The following is a 27316-nucleotide window of genomic DNA, read 5'->3' on the forward strand; positions in this document are numbered from 1 at the left end:
ATGTGCATTCTCCTCTTGTTGGGTCGTGTTCAAAAGTGTCAATTTAGTATTATTTAGATCTTTAATTTCCTTACGTTTTTCAGTCTCTTTGTTCTACTAATTACTGAGAGAAAGGTACTGAAAAGTGTCTGACTGTAATTGTGGATATCTCTGTTTCTCCTTGCTGCTTGTCACCTTTTCTTGGTGCATTTTGAAGCTCCGTTATTAAGTGCATACCTGTTTAGGATTTTGTTCTTTTGATGAACTGACCCCTTTATCATTATGAAATTACCTTCCTTAACTCTGGTAATATTCTTTTCTATGACATGTACTTTGTATAATATGAACATAGCCCCTCTAGTTTCCCCCCACCCCACCTTTGGTATTAGCATCCTATGACCTTTAACCTCTTTGTATCTTTACATTTAAAGTGCATTTCTTTTAAGCAATAAGTAGTTGGGTCTTGCATTTTTGTCCCATTTGATAATCCCTGTTTTAAATTGTATTGTTTAATCCATTTACATTAATATGATTATTGATATAGTAGGCTTAAGTCTGTCTTCTTCCTATTTGTTTTATATTCGTCCCACCTAGTAATAGGATAAAGAGGAGATACACACACACACGCCACCACCATCACCACCCTTACACGGGAGCGTGAGAGCATATGGGTTACAAAAAATAAACCACCTAAGAACACTTTGTCATTGTCCCATTTCCTCCTTTTTCTTCCTTCTTTTGGATTAGCTGAGTATTTTCTATTATTTCATCTTACCTCCTTTTTATTGGTTTATTAGCTGTAATATTTTGTTTGTATTTTAGTGGTTACTTACGGATTAAAGCTGTAATACTTTATTTGTATTTTAGTGGTTACTTACGGTTTATAGCATGTATCTTTAATTTGCCACAGTCTACCTTTAATTGATATTTTGTCACTCTATGAATAGTATAAGAACATTATAATAGTATACTTCCCTCCCAGTTTTCGCACTTTGTCATTCATTTTACATTTATAGATGTTATTAATTCCACACTATATTTTTATTTAAAATCAATTAGTTTTTAAAGAGATTTAAATAACAAAAACATCTATATTTGCACATGTAGTTATCATTTCTAGTGCTCTTTTTGTGTGTGTGTGTGGATCTGTATTTTCTTCAGGTATTGTTTTCTTCTGCATGAAGGACTTTCTTTAACATTTCTTATCATGCAAGTCTGCTGGAGATAGACTCTTTTGGCTTTTGTACAACTGAAAATGTGTTTTTTGCCTTCATTTTAAGTGATATTTTTGCTGTGTACAGCATTCTAGATTGACAAGTTTTTTTTTTCTTTGGGTTGACTAATTTTACTCCCTATTGATGATTGTATTTTATAGTTCTTTATATGCCTGGTTATTTTTGTTTAGTTACCAGACATTGTGAATTTGTTAGGTGCTGGCTATTTTTATATTCCTGTAAATATTCTTGAGCTTTTTCCTGGGATGCTGTTAAGTTACCTAGGAAGAGTTTGATTTGTTTGGATCTTGCCTTTAGAATTTTCTGGGTGGGAAGAGCAGTGTTTACTCTGGGGCAAGTGATTCCCCACTATTGAGACAAGACCCTCTGAATACTCTATCCAGTGTCCCATGAATTGTAGAGTTTTCCAGTCTGGCTGCTGGGGACAGGCGCTGTTTTAGGTTCTGTGTGAGGGCCAGTTGCTGTTCCCTCTAATCCTTTCAGGTGATTCTGTTCCCTGCCTTGAGTAGTTTTCTCATGACATTCTCATCAGTGTTCTGCTGAATATTTGAGGGGGACCTTCTGTAGGTCTCCAGGGTTCCCTCTTGTGAGCCCTCTCCTCTCTGTGTCCTGTGAATTCTAGCAACCTTGGTCTCCTGGATGCTCAGCAATATCTCTTCAACTCATGGAGACTGTCAGGCCACACCTGGGTTCCCTTCCTGCTCCATGGCCTGGAAATTCTCCTAGGCAGTAAACTGAGGCAGCTGTAGGACTCACCTGATTTGTTTCCATTCCTCAGGAATTCCTGTCCTTTATTCATTGCTCTCCAGTGTCTTGAAAGTTTTCGTGTTTGTTTGGTCCCTGCCCCGCCACTCCCCATTATACTTTGTTTTTTTGGGTTGTTTCAGAGGGAAGGGAAATCCTGCCCTGTCACTTTGTCTTGGCCAAATGTAACTCACATCTAGTTGACATGTGCAATGCTTATTTCCAGATGAGATTCCTTGTTCCCCTTGGGAAATGTAGCCTAGAACGTCTTTGCTAATTCTGCATTGATATTTTTAGCTATCCTCCTCATTACAAACCCATCACAAATTTGCCATATTTTTCTGAGTTATCTAACATCTGCTTTTAACAATGTCTCTCCCTTGTGATCACCTGAGAAGTGCCATGGATAAACACAATTAACCTTTCTTTCTCTTGTGCTTAACTGACCTTAATCATGTATTAGCTTTTTCAAAAACTAAATTTTAATTAAGCTTTCGTTTATTCTCCTTGTTTCTTTTCTATATTTATCCTTTAGTTGTATTATTTAACTCCAGTAATCATGTTTATATTGCATATATATTTATATTGCATATATATATATCCAGTAATCATGTTTCTATTGCATATATATATAAACTTGCAAGTTTCACTTAAATGCACAGGAGTATTACCTATTATAAGTCCCAAATTTAGGCTGGGCACGGTAGTGACTCGCACCTATAATCCCAGCACTTTGGGAGGCCAAGGTGGGTGGATCACTTGAGGCCAGGAGTTTATCAACAGAGAGTAAACTATATTGTATTCTACGTTCTATACAACAGAATGCTACGCAACCAGTAAAATAATAAGACTTACAAAGTAGCAAATTGGGCTGAGTGTGGTGGCTCACACCTGTAATCGTAGCACTTTTGGGAGGCTGAAGCCGGCACATCACTTGAGGTCAGGAATTTGAAAGCAGCCTGGCCAACAGGGATGAAACCCCATCCCTACTAAAAATATAAAAATTAGCTGGATGTGGTGGGCATGAGCCTGTAATCTCAGCTGTTCTGGAGGCTAAGGCTCGAGAATCACTTAAACCCTGAACTCAGGAGGCAGAGGTTGCAGTGAGCCAAGATCATACCACTGCACTCCAGCCTGGGTGACAGAGTGAAACTCTGTCTCAAAAAAAAAAAAAAAAAATTGAAGTCCTGAATTTATATAATTTTTTAATATATTTAGAAGCTTTGAAAAGTTTTACATGATTACTGAGCATTTTAAAGAGCATATGCTTTTCAGTAAAATATTTTATTCATTTTATCACATTCATGAAAGCACCGTCTTTAAAATCTCAGTATTTTTACAATATTTTCACCCATGTATTTTTCAGTTATTTTTTTACTATTAATTTTATTAATGCCAATTTACTTATTACATATTAAGAGACTAATTTAAAAATTTTTACCTTTTGGAAAGAAAGTCAAGATAGTTAATCATTTGTGTTTTTCTTATGTGGTTTATGTTCTGTGATCCTTCTGTTCTCTCTCTCCCAGGTCACGGTGGTTGTGGTAGTACTGTGTGTGTATGTGTGTTTGTGTGTGTGTTTGTGTGTGTGTTTGTGTTGTCTTCAGGGAAGGGAGCTCTATTCTTTTGGCCTGGGGTGGGGAATATATATAAAATTTTGTGTGTGTGTGTGTGTGTGTGTGTGTGTATGTGTGTGTATACTTCTAATAGTAATACTCATGAGCATTTAAGTAATATATAATGTGTGTGTATACGTGGAAGTGTTTAAACATACATATTATATATAATTATATGTTATAATGGATATATTATGTAGTATATTATAATGTATAGTATAGTATATGTTATATATACTATACAATAGCATATATAATTAATGGCATATATTAGTATATGTATTATATGCTATACTACATAATAGTATAATTAACAATTGTATATATTACATTATATATGTAAAGTATATATTATACATTATATAATATAGTATAAACTATATACTATAGAGTATATTATACATTAATAATATACTATATCAGCATATACTATTAGTATATACTAATATATACTATATATAATGTATAACAAATATATAATATATAATAAATATATATAATATATAACAACATATATCATATATTTTATATACACTATATATGTTTTCATTTTTCTTCTGGATATATTAATAAATATATTCTTGAAGTAGATGAGAGAGGGGAGGAACCTGTATTTGTTAGGTAATAATATAGTTTAATCTTTAAATTACAAAATGTAGCCACAAGGTTAATAGCTTTCATTTTTACTCTAGCATAGTGTGATTCTACTATCTTTGGATTTCTGGATGATTTTTTTTCTCCTTGATTCTTGATTATATTTTTTGTTCTTCATAAATTAAGATGATATACATCTTTGTATTAGAGGAAAGCCCTGAAACATAACATAATTAATAATTTTAGAAGTTTGGACAACATTTCTTCTGACAAGAGACTTCTCTTACAAAGTAATTGAATAGTTACATTCCTCATGGTAGATATGTTTATTTCAATGTAATAACCTAAAAACTGACATTTACTGTTGTTTTCACTTATATTTGAAAATGTGGATACTGAATCGTTTTTGAATTTTATTCACTTATTAACAGTTGAGTTTGAATTTGTTATACATTTATTTATGTTTAATTGGAGTTAATGGGGTAAAATGTTTAGAAAAATACTTCACTGCATGTGAATTAAATGGGAAAAATAATTTTCTACTGAAAAGTCACTCTTGCATTTTGGGCACAGAAAAACTTATAGAGGCGATAAAACTTGGGGGTAGGTAGGTGAATTCTGTTCATATATAATTGGTATAGAATTTCAGGCAAAAACTTTAAAATAGTTGTACAGTTTTACTGTTTCTACTGTTTGATAAAGCTGAAATCAAATATTCCAAAATCATTAGCAATCTTTGTGGAAGTGATGACATATTTTAAATAATTTTTTAAAACTATAAAGTTCAAAGCTAATTCTCATTAATGAGTATTTTATTGTTTTGTAATGTAAGTTCCAGCATAGTCAGAAAATTAGTCAGAAACATTTGCTTGAAATAAAATGTTACCATACAGTTTTGCTAATACAGAGAGCAGGAATGGAAGTGTAATATTTCTATGCATTAACAACTTGTCATGGCTATAGAATATTACAATATCAACTACAGTAGAGATGTTGTCCCATTCTTTTATTGTATGCATTGTTTTAAAAAATATTTTTATTTTGAAATACTTTTGATCTGTAGACATGTTATAAAGTTCTTTTCAGATACATTCAAAGCTATGAGTTTAAAAACTGAGAATCTCAGTAAGCTCAACAAATGAACACATTTACATGCCAGTAATATATCTTTCTTCCAAGGCTAGAAAATACTTCATGATATTTTTGTTAGTATAACTTTTAAATGCATTTCTTTCAGATAATAGAAAAGCATTTTAATATATATTTACCGTTTCATAAGCAGATTTTCTAAATTAACATCATTAGAATATATTTTTGAACTCACAGGAATTAAACAGAATGGCAAGCTAGGGTCCATGAAAACTTAGGAATTCCTTTTTGAAGACAAACCACAAGGAAATGTCAGAATTATGAATCTGGGAAGATGAAGCCTGAAGCCTTAAAGTGTGTAGTGCTTTCCAATGAAAATCAACTGGTTTCTGAACATTCCTACTATTGGTTTTGTAGACACTGTTCCTGTAGCCTATGAGGTTATTCTCTGGGTGAGTGGCCGTGGATACTGCTTTTTATAACATAACATTGCACAGTTTCTGACTTGAATCAGAATCCATGATCACTGCTTTTGGAGCAGGAGGACCTTTCTGACATGTCCCTTTTACAGTGATGTAGGGAGAGAGATTAATGCCTGAAATCATCTATAAATGGAAAAATGATAAAATTGTGAATCACTGACAATAGAGAAATGTTTATGGTTTATTTTAGGGGCCTTGATGCTCTCAGCAAGAAAGCGAAGGCTTCCACAGTCGATTTGCCTATAGAGTCCGTAAGCCTAAGTCTGCAGGATCTCATTGGCTACTTCCACCCCCCAGATGAGCATTTAGAGCATGAAGACAAACAGAACAGACTACGAGCCCTGAAGAATCGGCAAAATCTCTTCCAGGAAGAGGTCCGTTTCTATCAACACTCATTTCTCTTCTGTTATTCTCTTGTAAAAACAGCTTCTTGGTTGGGAAAATTTTCCATCTATTTTGACCATCTTTGCGTTTTGCAATATAGAGGAGAAAGTATACTACTGAACAGGAGAAACAGGCCTTAGAGAAATCTCGACATGATTTTTATTTATTTATACTATCCATGAGTATTAATTTAAAAACATGAATCTTTTCATTCTCCTGGCAAGAGACATTTACTGTCTGCTCAGCCCTCACCCTGGTCTTTTGCAAGCACTATAGTTCTCTTCATGTGGGTTATATCAATTAAGAATCTCAAAGTGTCTGTACGAATACAGGCTTTAGAAAGCATCAGGGTTTTCAAACTATTCAGCAGGTGCTCCTTGGAAATGGCCCAGGATCTATAGGAAGCTTCGTGTTGGGGATGGAAGCTGTCAGGAGAGGGCTACCGGAGTAGGCTGAGCTCCAGGAACCCTACTTGGACAGAGCAACCCTACCCTTCTCCTTTGCATCTATTACATTTCCATGTATGATTGTATTGCCCCAAAAGTTTCACTGCTAAAAAGAACTCAAGTGTCATATTTTACAAACAATAAAAGAAGGACCAAATGATATATCTCATGTTCTAATATAGTCAGGAGCTTCGTTGGAGACTACGAGGGTTGATGGGATAAATCAGGCTTGTTCAGCTGGATTCCCATTCTTTTCAATGCATCTTGTATGCAGAATAATGATTTTTTTCTGAATAAATACTTAGCTTTGTAAAAGTAACAAAAAAGGTTATTCATTGAGTACACATGGACACAAAGAGGGGAACAATAAATACCAGGGCCTACTTGAGGGTGGAGGGTGGGAGGAGGGCAAGGGTCGAGAAACTACCTATCAGGTATTCTGCTCACTATCTGGGTGATGAAATCATTTATACTTCAAACCCCAGTGACACGCAATATACCCACATAACAAACCTGCACATGTAACCCCCAAAGCCTAAAATAAAAGTTGTGACACAGAGAAATAAAACTAAACAAACAAAACCAGAAAGGGTTATTACTAGGTTCTCATAATCCCTGTCTACTTTTAAAGCTGTGTTCTAATATCTCATCAGAAACGCTTGAAACTGACATAACTTTTTGAGGACGTTCCCACTGGGTATTCAAAAGAGATGACCTATCTAGAGACCTCAACGGCACGAAAGCAAAAAAGTATCAACATAAACCAATAATAACGTGGACTAGTTTCCTGGGAGCTTTCACATATGCCAAATTGTTAGGCTCTTTTACAATGCTGCATTTATTTAATATCTGGAAGAAGTAACATTAAATATTGGGGTGTAAAAATTAAAATAGTAATTTAGTTTTTTTCCCAACTTCTCATATAAGACAATCTGGATGGGGACTTGGAAATGTTCTTAGGTCCATGGTATCTCTTAAATTCTGTGTGAAATAAGTTAATTGGTTTAGATAGTGGTTTATATAGCTCTTTATGTGGTTAGATAGCTCTTTATGTGGTTTGCCACGCTTTTTACAACCTTGATCTACCAATAATAATAAAAATAAAGCATAATTTCAAACTCAGGCTGTATCTTACAAAGTTCACGATAATGCAAAAATGCATTACAGCATTTTTGATTTGCTTTAAAAATATCTTTTCATGAGCTTTACCTGATATACTATATCTTTAAGAATAATAATAATGCCTATCTAAGAATAAGGATCTGCTCTTATGGTCACTTAACAATAGAAGGCCATAAGTATGAAGTACATATTTTTAGGTTATTCTTCCACTGCTATTTGATGATGGCATACAGAATTTAAAATCTGCTTGAACTATCTGAAGAACATTTCATTTCACATGCAAATGTGTGTCTTCCTGTCCTTTGAATGATCACAGTTTTCTTTATGATTAGTAGATGAACCTTCAGTCAGACTTCTATTTTTAAATCAACTTAGCATTTTTAGTCTGTAAGCAGAATGACAGTTTTGGATGTCTGATTGTGATTTTTTTTTTTTTTAACGTTCCAGGGAATGATCAACCTCGTGCTTGAGTGCATAGACCGTTTGCACGTCTACAGCAGTGCAGCACACTTTGCTGATGTTGCTGGGCGAGAAGCAGGAGAGTCTTGGAAATCCATTCTGAATTCTCTGTATGAGTTGCTGGGTAAGAAGCATGATTGGGTTCATAGCAACAGAGTTATCTATTTAAAATGTCCATAAATGGACTAGGTGTGATGGCTCATGCCTGTAATTCCAGCAATTTGGGAGGCTGAGGTGGGAGGATCATTTGAGGCCAGGAATTTGAGACCAGCCTGGACAACATAGCAAGACCCCATCTCTACAAAAAATAAAATAAAAATCAAACACAAAAGCAAAAAAAATCACATAATAGCTACAGCAATTTTATAACATGCCTCCTAATTGAGACTTAATTTTTAATTTACTGTGCCAAATCAAATGGTGCTTAGTATTAAAATCCATCTCTGAGTGAGAAAGGTAGCTAGAGAAGTAGATTTGCCTTTGGTTAAAGGAGGAGAAAGTCATTCAGGGTGCAGTCTTTGCAGATGAGGGGCCTTTATATGGATGTGTGTTAAATATTTCCTTTTTGCTTTTGGAGTTAGTTCCGCAAGGGTCCCTCTTAATTCCTTACATTCCCATCTAATCAATGATCTGCTCCAGTCTTCTCTCTATTCTTTATATGATCTCTGTTTGGCAACTTCTAAGTACACCTGACATTGATTAAGCGACAGTTGCTGTGGTTTACCCTGCATTCCTGTGGGCTCTCTGCAAACACAGCTCCTCATTATTTTTGACCTCCTGTAGCTTCTACTTGTCTCTTGTCAAAAACTAAAGGGTCTGAGATTTTTACCCTATTTGCAAGCTAGTAAGTTAGCCTGCAGTTAGGGTAAAGAGGGACAGTTTAGTAGTCAAAGAAATAGCTGTAGAGATTGGCTGTAGTGCCAATTCTCTGAGCCCCAGTTCTCAAAGGACAATGTGAAGGGGACAGATGACACCTGCACATGCAGCTAGTTGAGTTACAGAAAAGGAATCCTGAGCTCAGGGAGTGTGAGTTAGTTACACTGGACAGAAAGCCTGCCTGGCCTTTGCTGTGGATGGAGACATCTCTCTCTTGCATGGCCTCTTGCTGCAAACATCTTGGAAAAGATTTCCTGAAACAAAGCCTTCCAATGACAAATTTGCAAGATGTGCAAAAACAGAGACCACGGGGAATGGTCTCTTTCTCTACCCTAACCCTCGCCTCCAAAATCTCAGATTCATCCTGTATGTCACAACTGTTACATCACTTCCCTGTTTAGACATTGTTCACATTTCTATATCATTCTAGAAGATAAAGTTCACCTTGTTGTCCCGGTATATGAGGCCCCAGTTAACCCTTCCAGCCTTCTATTTTCCCAGTTCCCTTATCCCTACCCCCTTACTTGAGCCACATCACAGTTTCCTGAACTTTCCATACACATCACACCTCTGGGACGTTGTCTCACCTTTTCCAGAATTGTTGTATATCCTTCAAGACCCAGTTCACATGTCACTGTCTTTTAAAGTTACTCTTGATAACCGGGCACAGTGGCTGACACCTGTAATTCCAGCACTTTGGGAGGCTGAGGCAGCCAGATTACCTGAGGTCAGGATTTCGAGACCAGCCTGACCAACATAGTGAAACCCTGTCTCTACTAAAAATACAAAAAATTAGCCGAGCGTGGTGGCGGGAGCCTGTAACCCCAGCTACTCAGGAGGCTGAGGCAGGAGAACCATTTGAACCCGGGAAGCAGAGGTTGCAGTGAGCCAAGATTGCGCCACTGCACTCCAGCCTAGGTGACAGAATGAGACTCCATCTCAAAACAAAAACAAAAATAAAGTTATTCTTGATGTTTCTCCCAACTCTTAAGTATAATTGAACCTTCCTTCTCTGGTTTCTTGCCACTAAGTTTCACCTGTATTTTATAGCACTTGTCACATTTCTTATTTAGTTATAAGTGTGATTGATTTCTAAGGCAAGAATAGCACCATTCTGGTTTTTGTATCTGCTATTTAACTGAATGTCTGGCACATAGGAGATACTCAATAAATGTGTATTCATTACGTGACTAAGTTCTGATAAAATAGGAAAGCATACCTAAGTATAGAAAGGAGATAATGCAAAAAAAGTTAAAAAAAAAAAGAAAAAAGAATGCATTTTTAATGGGAAGAATTTAGTCAAAATATTTGAAAATTCTTTACAATCTAATTAAATGTCATTAAAATTTATAGAGTCATAATACAACCTAGCAAATAAAACTCTTGTGCCTATTAGAATTGTTAATATGTTTTCATTAGGTGGGCTATTTGATATTTATTAAAATTAAACACTTGCAGTTTGGAACTTTCAGACTAAAAGGTGACATGCGGCTGCCATTTCTGAGAACAGGACCAGGGATATTGAGGCTTTATAGGAATTTGGATTCATCATTTTACCCACAGTAACGATTGAGATAAAGATTTTGTGTTGCCAAAATTCTAATGACTGCATTTCTTTGCAAATGCAGAAGTTATAGCACTAAATTTCATAATATAGCAGAGACTAAAGTGTGGTGATGTTTTTAACACTACATCCTACCTTCTTCACTTGGTATAAGATGAATTTCTTGGATAAACTCGATGCTTAAGTAAAGAGTTGCATCACCTAGCCTGGACAGCAGAGGAAAACCCTGTCTCTAAATAATAATAAAAACTGGCTGGATGCATTGGCTCATGTGTGTAGTCCCAGCTGCGTGGGGGGCTGAACTGGTAGGATTGCTTGAGGCTGGAAGTTTGAGGCCAGCCTGGGCAACCACCTCTAAATTTTAAAAAAGAAGAATTTCATGTATGAATGTTTGAGGGTAGAAAGTGTTACGTGCAGAAAGAACATTGTTTTTTAGGTAAATCTAGAAAATATGCATCTTTTATTTTCATATCAACTCTTTTTATAGTCTCTGTTCATTGGTCCCTTCAACAGGTATTGTATCCATGAGTAGCAAAAATGAATAGAAGGAATTATAATTTTTTATATAATCATAGAAAAGGCCCATTGCAGCAAAGTTAGCACTTCAGCTTTATCCTTCTGAGCTACTTATTTCTCAAGCCAATCCTCCCTTTACCTCCACAGAGTTATTTGGGGATTAAATTTGATTATTTTAGAACCTACAAAAGTAACATTAATAGACTTTACAAAATGTTGGGGACTTGGTGGGTATGAACACGGTTCCTGCTCCTAATTAGTTTTGAGGTTGGCTTTTACTGGAACATGGCTAGAAGTGTGATTTTAAAATGGCTTACCTATTTAAATAGAACGAGAAAGGAGCTCTTGAAGGTGGAGCAATGTTTCTATTGGGATGTGTTCAGTTGGAAATAACAGAATACCCAAACCCAAACTGGCTTCAAAAACAGAGGGGATTTTGGGGCTTGCACAGCTCGCCGTCTACCAGTGGGTTTGACACAATGGCTCCATCTTATCTCCAGAACCAGCTGCTTTATGTCTCCACTCTGCCTTCCATGGAGTCATCTTCCTCTAGTGCGGCCTTTTCTTGATGGTCTCAGCTGTCTGCTGTCAGCTCCTAGTACTGCATACTTTCTTTCTGACATGGGAAAAGTGAAAGAGGGCTTGTTCCAGAAGTTATCCCTTGTGAAAGAGTGTGCTATTTCCTAAAATCCCCAAATACAACGCTTCTCGCATCTCATTAGCCCAAATTGTGTCTGGCCATTCCTGAACCAGTCGTTCTGGCAAGAGTAGGGAAATTTTACCAACATTGGTCTTGACTGATCAGGGATCCACTGTTGAAACTGGGTCAACTCCTTGGACTGCCTATCTGTCATATAGGGAATGAATGTTATAGAGGATGGTGGCCAAGAAGCTGAAGTGTCCATCCCAAATGTTGACTCATCTACTTCCTCAAAGGGTTTTATGAACTGAATTCTAATCAGAATGCTTTTATTCACTACCTAGCACTATGCTTGAATAGAGTAGGCAGTCAATAAATATTTGCTTGAATTATTTAATAAATACGTTACAGAGATTTCCATTGACTTTTCTGTAGCAGGGTGCATTTGGCTATCAAATTAGTGTATTAAAAACCAGTGGAACTCTTACTCCTCTTTCATTAGGTTCCTTTCTTGAAAAATAAGCACCTGAACTTTCATTCAGGCATATAGCAAGTGGCATCTATTGTTACTATAAATATTACCTGTAAAATGGCAATAGTCATTCCCCTCATAAGGTTGTTGGGTGGCTTAAATGTTATAATATATAGAAAATGCTCAGCATCGCATATTGTTGTTCTTCTTATCATTATTCCCATTTCTTTTGGATGTTTGTTATCATCCTTTCCCTTGTTAACATAGTAAAACTTTTGTCTCCAACCTCTTGCTTCATTCTTATTATTGTTGTTTTGCTTTTCAAAGATGTCCTAGAAAAGAAACTTTACTTAGATTTGTTGGATATAGCAAAGAATGTTATGGATTAGCCAATAGAGCACATAGAATCATAATTATTGTAGGTGTATACTGGTTCTTGTTTTCCTCATCGGAAAATGGCAGGAACAAAGTTTGCTTTATCACTATCCCCAGACTGCAAATTTTATATTCTATTATTCTACCCATTTTTGAACACAGTATCGCACATCTGCATCTTTACCATCTGGTATACAGCTAAATACTTCAGATCTCAATGACATTCATATATGGTAAAATTTGTGGTTAATCTCTTTACCTCCACTCCTTCTCTTCTCCAGTCTTTACTCAGACCTCAGGGAGCTCTCACACACTTCTTATGAACTTTCATAGACTCTGTGACCTTGTTTACACCCCTCTTTTAAGAAGAAGGGCCTGGTCTGTCTCTTCCTTTCACCAGCAACCAGATGTTGCTGGTCTGTCTCTAAACTCTCTGTATTGCGTTCTTTTAATTCTTGGTCCGGTCTGTCCCTTCTTTTCACCTCTGATGTCGCTGATTCTGTCTAGTTAGCGGGCTACAACTTGGGAGAGAGATCTTGATATTATATTTTTCATTATTCTGAATCTATTAACATGCATTACTTTTATAATTGAAAAAAGTAGTTAACATATATCTCTAATGCCAGATAATTGATAGCAAAAGTAAAAACTGAATGTACTAATTACAGTTGAGTAAAAAAAAAAAAAACATTTATATATTAGTGCAAATGAAGAGAATCTCTTCCCATAATCTACAAGGTAATTTTAGTGGGAGATGGGGTGTTTCCACTGGATAGAATTATGAGAGTTTTTTTAATGTTTTTGAGTTCTTATGATTTTCTTTTTGTGTTATAGTGAGCATCAATTTCATGACCAGAAAAGGGTAACAAATACAACTTTATATTGAATTTTGACATGCAAAATACTTCAGAACCATATGCTGCCAATATTTTTTATTGAATTCATTGTAATCATAAGATAGCCACATATACCTAAATATATACTTCAGTTTGTCTGGAAAAGTCTCAGATCTGCAGCAATAATTGGAGTCCTGTAAGACATGTGTATCTACCTTTCCTTCTTTATTTGGCTGTCAAAACCTTTGGTTCAAATATTAACTCCAAATTTGTTAAGCCTCCTTCCCGTTATTCGAAATAGGTAGACCATAGATTCTCTCCTGGGGTTATATGTGAAATAAGCCACTGTCTTTGTATTTTTTCTTCAGTGTGTCTATTTTGCACAGAGAGAAAACCAAGAAGGTGGGAATAAGAATCTATAACAATTTTGCATTCGACATGGATATATTTCATGTGTTTTAGGTGGAGAATGACAAAGGTAGATTTGTGAGCCTACTGTTTGGAATACCTCAGGATCTTAGAAACAGCGATACTCATAGTTGGAAAAGCATCACTGTGGCATGCTTTCATACATCTTTTCTGACATCCACACGATTAATCTGTGGGATGCTTACAAGACAGAATGATTTTCTAAAGATGTCTGAGAAATGGCCGCTGGGCAAACTTTCCTATGAATACTCATTTTCTGAAGATTCAAAGTATGAAACCAACAAGGATAGATTGCTGCTCTTTGAGTATGGCCAAAATGAATGTTTGAAGACTTGGAAAGAATACAGCCATTAGCCATTATTTCTGCACATTCAAACCAATTTCCCAGTGTCTCAAGGAGGCAGATCTCCCTAAATGCCATAAAACATTGAGAAAAGGCAGTCAAGAGGTGAAGAAGAAGGAAATGGGCTTTAGACATGCACAGATCGGTGTTATTCTAGTGTTTGTGCATCTAGATAGTTCGATCTTGTTCTTCAGGAAGTCTCAGAAACGTATCGTATAAACAAGACACATCCTTTAAAATTTCAGCTTGGTGATAGTCTCATTGTCCCTTACTCTTGCAAGTTCCCAGGTAGGAGTCCTCAGACTCCAGTTTACAAGATCCCCAAACACAGGGACAGCTCTCCAAGCTCTCCAAGAAGTTTCAATGCATTATCTTCTTAGATTCTTCAGTACATTCTGAAGTGTTTTGTTTTGTTTGCTCGTTTGTTTGTTTAATGGGTTTTATTTTTTTCAGGCTTAGGAGCATCTACTTGTTAATCTCAATATTTTGAAAAATGTTTCTAGATTTTAGTCCAATTAGCCCCTCATTTTTCTGTGCTGCGTAGGGCCTGTTCACTTAGTGTTTCCAGGCTTTGAATGTAAATTCCAAGAGGGATGTTGTTTCATTTCCTCTGTACCTCCAGCACCTAGAACAATGCTTGACACAAAGCAGGGAATCAGTATTTGTTGCATAAATTTTTAAAGTGAAGGTAATTTCTTGGAATTTCTTTTAATCTAAATTTTTCTGTAAGTCTCAGATTTTTTTAGTCTTTTGTGAAATTTTGAGTCCAAGAATTCAAAGACATTGAAGCATGAAGCCTCCGGGGATAGGATGATACTAATAAAACAGATGAATATTGCATGATTCCACTTATAAGAAGTATCTAGAATGATTAAATTCATAGAATTAAAGAATGGGGCCAGGCAAAGTGACTCATTTCTATAATCTCATAACTTTGGGAGGCCAAGGCAGTGGGATCACTTGAGGAAGGGAGTTGGAGACCATCCTAGGCAACATAAAGAGACCCTGTCTCTACAAAAAGATAAAAGATCTTAACTTAGTCTTTAATTAGGCAGCAATTAAAGAGTATTGTAAAGTTTTAGGGAGGGACATTTGTCTTTTGTTTTTGTACCTTGACGCACCATACCAAGTTGCCATTGCACTTCGAAGATGACAGTGGTGCTCTGAGACATCTCATAATGAAAGCCACTACAGATACTGATGGCATGGTTTTCCGTTTTATTTTTGGAAAGGCATTAACTTTATTGTACTATTTGGTATTAAAATTAATACATTTTAGATAAGGAAAGAAATAAGAAAAATTAAGAAGGCAGAAACTACTCTTAAACTTAACCACACATTTTGATCTATAACCTTTACAAATGTTCCTTTAAATATTTATCACGTAATACATGCAGAAAACATTTTGCACACCTGCATGCGTGCTTGCAGAATAACACGTGTGTACATATCTGCACATCTTTGCAGCAAGACATCACCTATTCCCTCCTCTCCTTGAAGATTTGCTCATCTTGCTCCAAATTCCAGGTTCATGGACTAAGATAGTCAAAAGGCTTTCCTTTGATGTTGGTACATTTTAGGGGCTTATTTGGTTACATTTTTTTGGACTTCCGTGCTTTTTTATTGTCGTCTATTTTTTCTCTAAGAGTGAAAGTGTAGCCACAGAACATCTCTTCACATCCTAACTTCACATCCTAACTTCCATTCTCTTCACATCCTAACTTCCATTCTTATTGAGCATTTGTGATTTTTTTTTTTGACAGAATTTATTGCTGGTTCAAAGGGTCACTGTGAAAGATCATATTACAGGACATGGCCCTTTTTTTTCCTCTCCTGGGTCCATTCTTCTTCCACCTTATTTTGGAATAAGAAAATGTACCTTTTTGACCTGGGGAAGCAGTCCCACTAATATCAATCTTCCTCAAGCTCTCTGTTTCTATCTCAGTCCCTTATCAAGATATTTCCCCCCCAAATATCAGCAATCATTCTCTAAGAAATTTCTAAAAAACACAGTTTTCTCCATGCTATACATGTACTTATATTCAGTGTATACATTTACTTTACAAAAATGGAATCATGCTATCAATGTTCTTTTATAGCAGATGTTTTCAATTAATTCTACATTGTGGGCCTCTATCCTTGGTAGTAACTATAAACCTTCATCAGACTTTAGCAGATGTACACTTCTGTGCTGAGGTAATGTCACCATTTACTTATTTAGGCACATTTAGGCTATTCCAGTATTTTGCTGTTATAAAGAGTGCTGTGATGAGCTTCCTTGTATTTCTCTGCATACTTTTTCATTACTTTAGAAACTCACATAACTGATATCTTCTTAACTGACTGGATGAATTATAATAATTCACAGACTCCATTTATCTGTAAAATGTATTGGTACCCATGACATGCGCCTACATACACACACATGCACACACACACACACACACACACGCATGCATGCACGATGTTCAGGAGGTACTCTATTTTACTGAGTTAATTTTTTTCATTAGAAATGTATATATTTTCGTAGTATATTGAGATTGTTTGATCTTTTACTCATTAACAGATTTCCTGATATATTTTTGTCTCTTTGGAGGAATGAATCTCCACTTGGATGAAATGTTGCTAATGTATTGCTAAATTTGATTTATAAATACTAAATTTATATTGCTAAATTTGATTTATTAATTTCATTAATATATAAACTTATATAATATTTTTGGATTTATAAGAGTTCCTCTTGTTTTGTGATGTGTGCTTTGATATCAATGTCACTGATACTGCTTTTGTAAAATCAGGGAAGTTTCCTTAGTTTTTTGGCTTTGGAATACGGTCATGTGTCACTTACTCATGGGAACAGTTCTAAGGAATACATCTTGCAAACATCATGGAACTTACACAAACCTCCGTGTTATAGCCTATTGCACAGCTACGCTATAGGGGATAGCCTACTGCACGGCTATGCTATACGGGATGGCCTACTGCATGGCTATGCTATACGGGATGGCCTACTGCGCGGCTACGCTATACTGGATGGCCTACTGCGCGTCTACGCTATACGGGATGGCCTACTGCTCCTGGGCTACATAACCTATGGCTGTACATTTGTACAGCAATATGTACAGCAAATTACCATACTGAATACTGTAAGCAATTGTAGCACAGTGGTATTTACGTACATAAGCATAGAAAAGGTACAGTAAAAATATAGTCTTATGGTCTTAAGGGATGATCATTTTATCTGATTCATTGTTGACCAAATCATTGTTATGCAGCATATGAAGTAGTGTAGAAATTACTTATTTATTGAATATGTGCGAAAAAGCTTTTGGTCTTTGACATTTCAATATTACTCATGATTTATTATTCTGTTTAGATGTTTTCCCTTCTATTGCATCAGTTTTAGTGAAAAAATACATATCTATATATCTATGTATCTATATCTTGAGACCATTTTACCCAGATGTTCAAAATTACAGTATAAAGATGTATAAAATTGTTGTGTTTATAATTCCTTTTTTGAGATAGGGTCTCACTCCATCACCCAGGGTGGAGTGTAGTGGTGATATCATGGCTCATGGTAGCCTTGACCTTCCAGGCTCAAGCAATCTTCCCTCCTCAGCCTCTGAAGTAGCTGGGACCACAGGCATGTACCATCAAACCTGGAAAAATTTTTTAAAAATTTTGCACAGACTGGGTCATGCTATGTTGCCCAGGCTGGTCATAAACTCCTGGGCTCAAGTGATCCTCCCACCTTGGCTCCCAAAGTACTGGGATTATAGGTATGAGCCACTACGCCTGGTGTAATGCCCTTTTCTTAATTTTGTCCTTTTTTCCTTTTCTTTTTGATTAAAGTAGTAGTTGGTAGTTAGCTTATATTTAAAAAATAGTCCTTGAATGTATTCTTGATCAATCTTACTATTATATAAATTATTTTTATTTCTAATGTATTAATTTCTACTTTTATTGCGATTTATTTTTTTCTGTTTTACTGATGTTTATTTGATGTTCTTTTCCTCTATTTCAAAAGACGTATTTACCATTTTTCACCCAATTGCTTAGCAATTAAAGTGTTTATTTAATTTTGCCTTGAGTACACTTTTGGCCATTTACCATTGGTTGTGTTAGGTAGTATTCTAATTTTTGATATTTATTAGATATTTTATATTATGATATTGATTCCATCATTGACCCAAGAGTTATTAAGGAGAGAGTTTAAATTTTTATATGCTTTGGTTTTATTTTCATTCCTGCTTTTCTTACTAAATTCTGACACGGTTCTGTCAGAGAACATGGTTTATACCATGTCTGTTTGCAGTAAATTTAATGAACTTTTCTTTGTGGCTTACTTTATAATTTTCTTAAATGCCCCATGGCTTATTAAAAGAGTTCATTCTTACACTATTAATTTCTTTCAAGAATCACTTATGTTATATATATCATATATATAATTTTAGATAGATAATATGATAATGATATATGTTTTCATTTTAGATGGATAATATGATAATGATATATATTATATATATACCTATATAATTTTAGATAATACAATAGTTTATATATAATTTTAGATAGCTATATATAATTATATATTATATATAAAATTAGTTTTACAAAATCAGAAATAAACTGAAAAGCATGAGTTAAGTTTTAAACAAAAGGGACTCTTAAAATTCAAAAACTTTATCATGTCCTTTTTCCCAGTTGCTATTGTTCTAAATTGGGAACAGATATTCTTACAGAATAAAATTAGTTCTGCTTAGAACTTAGTACTTCTCATTCCTCTGCTATATTCCACCCCTATCTTTTGTCCCCTGTACTCTGCAGTCTGTGAGTATATCTCGATGGCTGGCTCTTAAGGGAGGCTGCTGGACCCAGAGCCAGAGGAGAGCCTGAGTAATGAGTGTATTAGCTCTTAATCTCTGTACAAATGTCACAGAGGCGCTATACACAAAAAAGCTCTTCTCATGAAGTTGGCGTCTTTTCTGTGTGTTTCTTTTCTTACTCTCAGGTCAGATAATAACTTTATTTCTTTATTTTTGGAAAGAGGAAACATGAAGGACATCTTTAAGTTTAATTGTACACTGTAACTGTAGGGTCTCTTCCCTCCTGCTCTTAACAGGGAGGTTAACAGGCGGTAGCCTCAAACTTCACTACTTCAAACGCTTGCATCAGCTACCAGATTTTCTCTGCTTTTTTTTTTTTTTTTTTGAAACGGAGTCTCACACTGTCTCTCAGACTGGAGTGCGGTGGCACGATCTTGGCTCACTGCAACATCTGCCTCCCGGGTTCAAGCGATTCTCTTAACTCAGCCTCCTGAGTAGCTGGGATTACAGGCGCCCACCACCATGCCTGGCTAATTTTTTGCATTTTTATTAGAGATGGGGTTTCACTGTGTTGGTCAGGCTGGTCTTAAATTCCTGACCTCATGATCCGCCCACCTCAGCCTCCCAAAGCGCTGGGATTACAGGTGTGAGCCACCACCCCTGGCCTACCAGATTTTCAATAGTGATTATTCTTATAGAGACATCTTTCTCTCTTTAAATATCATATTGTCTAAACATCTTGCCATCCTCTTGTAAGCAATTATACTGTTTCTGAATAAACTTAGGGGTATAAAAGTAGAAAATATTTACCATGCTTGCTTTGAAAGAATTTAATGATTTTGAAAAATTAAAAGTTTAAAAGTGAGTGTATAAACTAGGCTGAAAGAAACCAGAAAAGTCACATAGGAGTTTTATTTAAAATGGGTTGTTCAATCAAAGAAGTGTAGAAAACAGTAGTCTAAGCCAAGCTAGAATCAGTTTCTTTACTGCAGAATTTCAGGTCTTTAATATACATTGTGAATCTCTAAATCCACGGAAATGATATAAGAAAATAAAAGGGTTTCAAAGTTAGTGGCTATTGGTCTTCTCATCCATTATTTAATGTAACATTTAGTTATATCTCTCTGTATACCTGTTAGAGTTATAATTACTAGTTATATCTCCTAGTATTTTGTGGTTCATTTTCAGAAAAACTGATTTGCTCTTTTTATTCTATAGGTAAGAAAATTGGGCTTGAGAGAGAAGAATAATTTAATCTCATGGCTAATTAAAAGCAAAGGGGATTAGAACCCAAGTGAGGGAACTCCCAGGAGACTGTTTTTCCATTACCCTTTACTATTACCTCCCAATGTGAAATTCACTTTCCGAAATTACATTCCTTCTAATGAGCAGTGGTTTGCTTCAGTCTCAATTAATAATTATTAATTTGTCTTTAATGTCTCAGTGTTGTATATGTACGTGTATGTATGTTTGCATAAGTTTTTAGATGTAACAGAGGATATTTTGTTCTTGATCCAATATTTTAGGGCTGCATATTAGCTTATCTCAATTTTCGAGCTAGAAAATCACATAAAGGTGAAATCTATTTCTTCTTTTGCAGCGGCTCTAATTAGAGGAAATCGTAAAAACTGTGCTCAATTTTCTGGCTCCCTCGACTGGTTGATCAGCAGATTGGAAAGACTGGAAGCTTCTTCAGGTATGTTTTCTAGTTTTTTCCTTGTTGTGATAGATCACTCCTATTTTTCTTTGCTTCGTATCCTTTAAGACAAAAAAAAAAAAAAAAAAAAACAACTTTGAGTGAGGTGTGGTGGTGTGTACTGAGTCCCAGATACTCAGGAGGCTGAGGTAGGAGGATCACTTGAGGCTAGGAGTTTGAGGCTGTAGTGCACTATGGTCACTGCACTCCAACATGGACAATATATTGAGACCCCATCTTTAAAAAACAAAAAGAAAAAACTCTGATGTTTGGTGTAATATAAGTGTTTTCCTTTTAAATTATGTTAAGTATTTTTATTTCTTGAAAAATCATTAGTATTTTCATTAGTCATTTCTGAATAGTCATCTAACAATATCATGTCCATTTATATCTTAAAAAACCTATTTATAAAGCCCTGAAAACCACTAAAGAGCCAGAATTCTCATTCTTTTTCAAATTGATTACTGCTAGTCTATTCTATAAATAAGAAGATCAGTTTGGAGTTCTCATTGTTTTCCTTGTATTCAAAAGATTATTTGGATAGATTGGGGAGACAGTTCATTTTCCAAATCCTAGAGTGTAATATTTTATTTAAAGGAAATTTAGTAAATACTAACAAATGGTCTGTATAATAGTAAAATATTTATAGGCAGTCAACCCGATACACACATCTCTAATAAGATGTTAGTTTTATTTCAGTATTGTGGAGACTTATCAATGACTGTGAAGACTTATCAGTGATTTTGGACTTACCAGTATTAAATCAGTTATTTGAACTTGTTAGAGCTCTCTAGCTCACACATAATTGACCTCTCTAGTGCCATAGATTGCCTCAGTGACACCCAAATGAATCTACTGCTCTTCCATCTGTTTGCACAGTATTTCATTATTTGCCTTTCTTTATCACTAATGCCCTCTTATGTTACTTATTTTTCCTCTCAGTTTCCTTCATTAGTAATGAACTTCTTGAAGATAGGGGCATGGTTTCATTCATCTTTGTTCTTTCCGGATCTACCATACCATCTGGCACCTATAGGTGTCTAGTATTGTTTGTTGAATGAATGGATGGATGAACATTAAAATTCACTCAAAAAATACCACTGTCCATACAAAATAGTTCTGAGACTTTTGCATGATAAAGACCCACTCAGGGACAGGTTTGTTGGAATTGAATAGAGACAGAGAAACAACCATGATCAGAGAGAGTAATTTTAAGTCACAGAGAAAAATTTGTAGAGTTTAGATAGTGGAGGACAAAAATGTGTAGAGTTTAGATAGTGGAGGACAAAAATTTGAGTCATAGTGAGTTCTTGGGCACTGCTAGATCGTTGGGCAGCAGAAGTAAGATAGAAATGGAGATTGTTGTAATAAAAACAAAAATAATTATGAGATGAGGGTGTTAAGAGTATCATAACATGAATGTAGTGACTGTGCATTAATTGCAGAATATATTAAGGAAAAACCTGTAACTTCTAGCATAAAGAAGTGACCAAATAAGTGGTACTGAAGCAAAGTCATTGTCTGGGGTAAATACCTGAGATTCATTGTCTTGCACCAAGAAAATTAAGGACATGGACACACACACAAGGAGTGAGTTTAGGAGCAGAGGTTTAATAAGCAAAAGAAAGAGAAAGGAGAACAGCTGTCTCAAAGAGAGAGAGGGAGAGATAGGGAAAGAGAGAGGAAGAGATAGGGGCAGAGAGGAGAGACAGAGAGAGAGGAAAGAGAGAGAGAGAGAGACAGAGAGAGATCACGATTGAGAAATCTGGCCTGCACCAGAGTGCACCAGATTTTATAGGCAGGCTTGAGGAAGCAGTGTCTGATTTGCATAGGGCCCAAAGATTGGTTGGACTCGGTATGACATTTGCATAGGAAGGCTGGCCAGGAAGGCTGGCTGCTCCACCCTAATCTTATGCAAACAGGCTTTCCACTTGGCAGGTGCCATGTTGCCTGCTCCTTACTGTACACGTGGCTGGCAAGGAGACGGGAACATGGAGCCGCCATTTTGAACATGCCTAGTCCCAGGTGGTCTTTTCCTATTGGCACAACTGCTGGCATTCACCCGTGGAAGCTTCCAACTTGCTTCTCTATGTCTGCAGCTCGATTTTGCAGGCTGCTCTTTGTTAGAAAAGAACATGATTTTGGGACTGCTCTTCATTAAAAGGTAAACCTTACCAAGGACTCCTGTACCCTCACTATCTGCCTAAATAATTTCTCCTTAACTCCTGTATCAGTAACAAGATGGTGGCATAGATTACAAAAATGGATAAATGTTTAGGGCCAAGTGTCCAGAATCACTGGAAAGCTACAGAAGACATTTAAAAAATGCTCATGTCTTCTGCTGGACCCAGTGGTATCTGTAAAGAGATAGGTGCAGGGCAGCCTCAGAGCAGAGTGTTAACACTGGCTGAATCAACTGCACAGCGAAATGCTTAACTGGAAAACAGAGAGAGAAAAGACATGAACAGAGCCAAGCATCCTTTAAGGTCAACCAAGTACAGTCCAGTGTTTTCAGAGTCTTCAGTTTTGTCAGTTACAGGCACAGTTTCATCAGATACAAATTATTATTTGCTGTTGTCTTTTTCCAGTCAATCTGTTGATTGCAGGCATTCCTAATGAAAAGGGAAGCCCTGTGCTCAGAGATAACATAATGAAAGTCAAGGGAAAGAAGGACCCTTAGAGTATATTTAATCTAACATTCTTACTTTAGAGGAAAAGAAACTGAGGCAAAGAACATTTAAATGACTGACTCAAAATCTTAGAAAAATTATTGTTACTGCCAAGGTTAAAACTCAGCTCCCTAGCATCAGACTTGCAATATGACCATGATACTTTGTAGCTCTTGTTTTTTAAGTATCTAAAATATATTTTGCTGAACAATTTTTTCTACTGTAGTTAACATTTATGCTTTTAATGAACTGTTTTTTCTCCAGAGGAAGTGGTGTTGCTTAGTTTTTAGAGGCAGTAACAATGATGAGATGCACATGTGTATGTATATAACTTATTTCAATTGTGCTTTGCTCTTTACAAAGTGCATACATATGCATCATTTTTTTCCTCTCTGTAATAAGTCTGACGTTGCTGAACACACACTCTCCTCATCTCGTTAGTGCCCTAGCTGCAGATTCAAACTGAAGAATTCTTGAGTAGAAAAGGGATCAAAAGTAGGGTTAATTGTCTTCCTGGGATCTAGACCATTCTAGTCTTTACTGCCTTGGCAGGTCCCCAGTGCCTTGGTTGTTTTGGTTGATGGCTGGCCTGAAACACCTCGTTTACCATTGCCAGATGCAGAACAATGCCTAGGATTGCCTTAAAAAACAACATTGGAAATGAAGTGATGAATCATAGGTGAATAGTTAAATTATATTACAACAACATTTTCAGCTATATTATAGGTATTGCAAAGAATTGTTTAGATGTATATCCTGAAATAGATTTAGAATATATTTTTAAGTGAAAATTCATTTTTAGAATGTGTGATAGGATATATTTTTGTAAAAAAAAAAAAGTGAAGATGAAAGTAGAAAGAAATAAATGAAAAGAGGAAAGAAGGGGCAAAAACCCTGTGTAATATGTATATATGTCTTTGCACGCATAGGCTGTAGAAATATGTACACCGCTGTTTACTTTGGTGACCAAGGAGTTCAAATTAGAGGAAAGAAAAAGAGTAAAACACTGGGTTCTCTAGGACAGGGAATTGCTTGTCAAAACTTGTGATAAATAGCAAATGGGAAGTCATTAGACCCAAAGGATAGAGAAGAAAGGGTCTAATGAACAGTAACACCAATTATTTTTTCCACCTTGCTTTTACTTTTTTTTTTAAATTGCTTTTTCCATTATTCTTTACATTCTACCACTAATTTAGTGGCAGGGACAATAGTGTTATCTACCCGATAGGGCTGTTAGGGGGATTAAATGATTAATATTTGTAAAGTACATAAAAAAGTATTTGGTGGGCGGGTGTGGTGGCTCACACCTGTAATCCCAGCACTTTGGGAGGCTGAGGTGGGCAAATCAGCTGAGGTCAGGAGTTTGAAACCAGCCTGGCCAACATGATGAAACCCTGTCTCTACTAAAAATACAAAAATTAGCAAGGCATGGTGGCAGGTACCTGTAATCCCAGCTACTGGGGAGGCCGAGGCATGAGAATCGCTTGAACTTGGGAGGCGGAGGTTGCGGTGAGCCGAGATTGCACGACTGCACTCCAGCCTGGGCGACAGAACGAGACTCCATCTCTCTCTCTCTCTTTCTTTCTTTCTTTCTTTCTTTCTTTCTATCTATCTATCTATCTGGCATATATGTACTTATTAAATTAGATCTGTCCGTCCAATAATTCCAGTTAGATTCATACAAAGTTGCCTGGCTGTAGATATTACATATTGTAAGAGGCCTTTTATCAACATGGTGTTCAGCTGCAAATAAGGGAAAGTTCTACTACCCTGACCCAAACTAGGAAGGAGCGGGGCAGTCAACAGCACTTGAGTTCCATGCCATCGACCACCCAGGCTCCTGCCATTTCTCCTTTCCTCAGTGCCCCCTGCCTGTGCGTTGTTTTCTCTAATGCTGGCAGATGGCTGCAGCCTACAGGTTGCTGCATCTTTACTCCAGGCAAGAGGATTGAGGTAGGACTCAACCGACGGAGATACTGATAATGACAAGCATTACCTCTACATTTACATGGCCAATAGACAGACCTCTCTCTAATATTATTACAAACAGTAGTATCTTTTCAACATTTCATGAATTTACTTCCAAATATGATTTTACACTGTCATGAATCATAGCTCCTGTCATTTCTGTTGCCAATAGTGAGGAAAAAAAGCTGATGAATATGGAAAGGGGAAAGACGTGTGAGTAGAAACACAAACGGCAAAGCTGGAGTAGAGGCTCCGGGAGTTGACAGGTGCAGGAAGCTGAGCTGCCGTCAGCCCTGACTGTCAGCTGTGTGTAGGTGTGTGTGAGGGCCACAGAAGGGAGTTATCTATACATAAATATGTATGTACGTGTGTATATATGTGTGTGTGTGTGTGTGTAGATCTATACATATATATGTATAGATATATACATATGTATAGATACCTACACACACACACACACATATATATATATACACACACACACATACATACATATGTACATGCATACCCCTACCTGTTGGGCAAGGGGTTTGAAACAGTTTCAGTTTTCCTGACAACGTAATTGGTTTTACCTCAAGCCTTTCCCACTCAATGTTCTATATATGCCTGGGACCACAGTGATTAAGAAGTCAGAGTGAATACCTTTACAGACAACCAGAAACATATTTAAGGCTTGTGAAGAAGATTGTGTAGATTGCCTAACCTAGTGCTCTTGAACCACATTCTTCCCTCCCTTCTTTAGTTTTAGAAGCTGAAAAGCAAAATTCTCAAAATCTTAACCTCACTTAAAACTGCGGGTGCCCATGTTGCCCCATTCTGGCCTGTAATATCAGCTAAACTCCCTGGGAGAGCTTTGCTTCCCAAAGAAAGCCTTTCTAGGAGAAAGACTCAGGCCCTACCTCAATCTCTTGCCTGGAACAAAGATGCAGTAACTGGTAGGCTGCAGCCATCTGCCAGCATAAGAGAAGACACCTCACAGGAAGGAGGGACTGAGGAAAGGAGAAATGGCAGGAGCCTGAGTGGTCGATGGCATGGAACTCATGTGCTGTTGACTGTCTGGCTCCTTCCTAGTTTGAGCCAGAGTAGTAGGACTTTCCCTTACTTGCAGCTGAACACCATGTTGATAAAAGGCCTCTTACAATGTGTAATATTTACAGCCAGGCAACTTTGTAAGAATCTAACTGAAATTACTGGATGGACAGATCACATTTAATAAACGTGTGTATGCCAGATACTATTTTATATGCTTTACAAATACTAATAATTTAATTCTAACAACTCTATAGGTTAGGTAACATTATTGTCCTGTTTAATAGATGAAGGGACTAAGGCTCAGAGAAATTCAATAAGTGAGCTAACACAGAACCAGCTCCCGGAGCCAGGCAGTTTGGCATCAGTATCCTTGATCTTAATCACCCCACTGTGTTCTCTAAAGATTCTTACTGACTATGAGATTATGAATGGAAATTAAAATATGTATAGTTATATTGATGGGGTGTTCTCTTATTTTGGGGTTCTGTTTTTGTGGGGTTTTTTAATCTTTTAATAAGCTAAAATTTCTAAGCAGGCTTTCATAGGCTTTCTCTTGATCTTAATTTCTTTGAGCCTCCTGGTGTAATCTTAAATTCCCCAATTATATTTACATTTTTAAATACCATGGTGAGAAATGATCTGAGGCCCCAAAGTTAGGAAATAAGAAAAAGTGTGGGTGGTGGTAGTAATAAATCATTTATAGTGGAAGTGGAAGCAAAAATTATACAGAGACACATTAGCAACACCAAGGGAGTTTTTTAAAATTTATTTTAAATTGACAAACTGTAACTGTATAGATTTGTGGGATACGGTGTGATGTTATGATGTATGTATATAATATAGGATGATTAAATCAAGCTAATTAAATATCCATAACCTCAGATACTTGTCAGTTTTTGTGGTGAAAGCACCAGTGACACC

At 36.3% G+C, this 27316-nt stretch overlaps 1 protein-coding gene and 1 non-coding gene across 19 annotated transcripts in view; both read left to right on the forward strand.

Moving 5' to 3' along the window:
* The window catches only part of RYR2 (ryanodine receptor 2), a 791805-nt gene that overhangs the window by 406278 nt on the left and 358211 nt on the right, over positions 1-27316 (forward strand). For all 18 annotated transcript variants that reach the window (XR_007062490.1, XR_002957299.2, XM_006711802.4 and 15 more), the window contains 3 exons: positions 5930-6113; positions 8139-8274; positions 20631-20726. Coding sequence is in view for 16 of the 18 variants with exons in the window: in XM_006711802.4 (XP_006711865.1) it covers positions 5930-6113; positions 8139-8274; positions 20631-20726 (416 nt within the window). In the remaining 2 variants the exon portion in view is untranslated. The remainder of the gene's footprint in view (positions 1-5929; positions 6114-8138; positions 8275-20630; positions 20727-27316) is intronic.
* Positions 22658-22730, forward strand: MIR4428 (microRNA 4428). Its single transcript, NR_039626.1, has one exon. It is a non-coding gene; the product is annotated as a microRNA 4428 (primary transcript).

This window comes from Homo sapiens, chromosome 1 (genome assembly GCF_000001405.40).
Source record: "Homo sapiens chromosome 1, GRCh38.p14 Primary Assembly".
Classification (NCBI taxonomy): domain Eukaryota; kingdom Metazoa; phylum Chordata; class Mammalia; order Primates; family Hominidae; genus Homo; species Homo sapiens.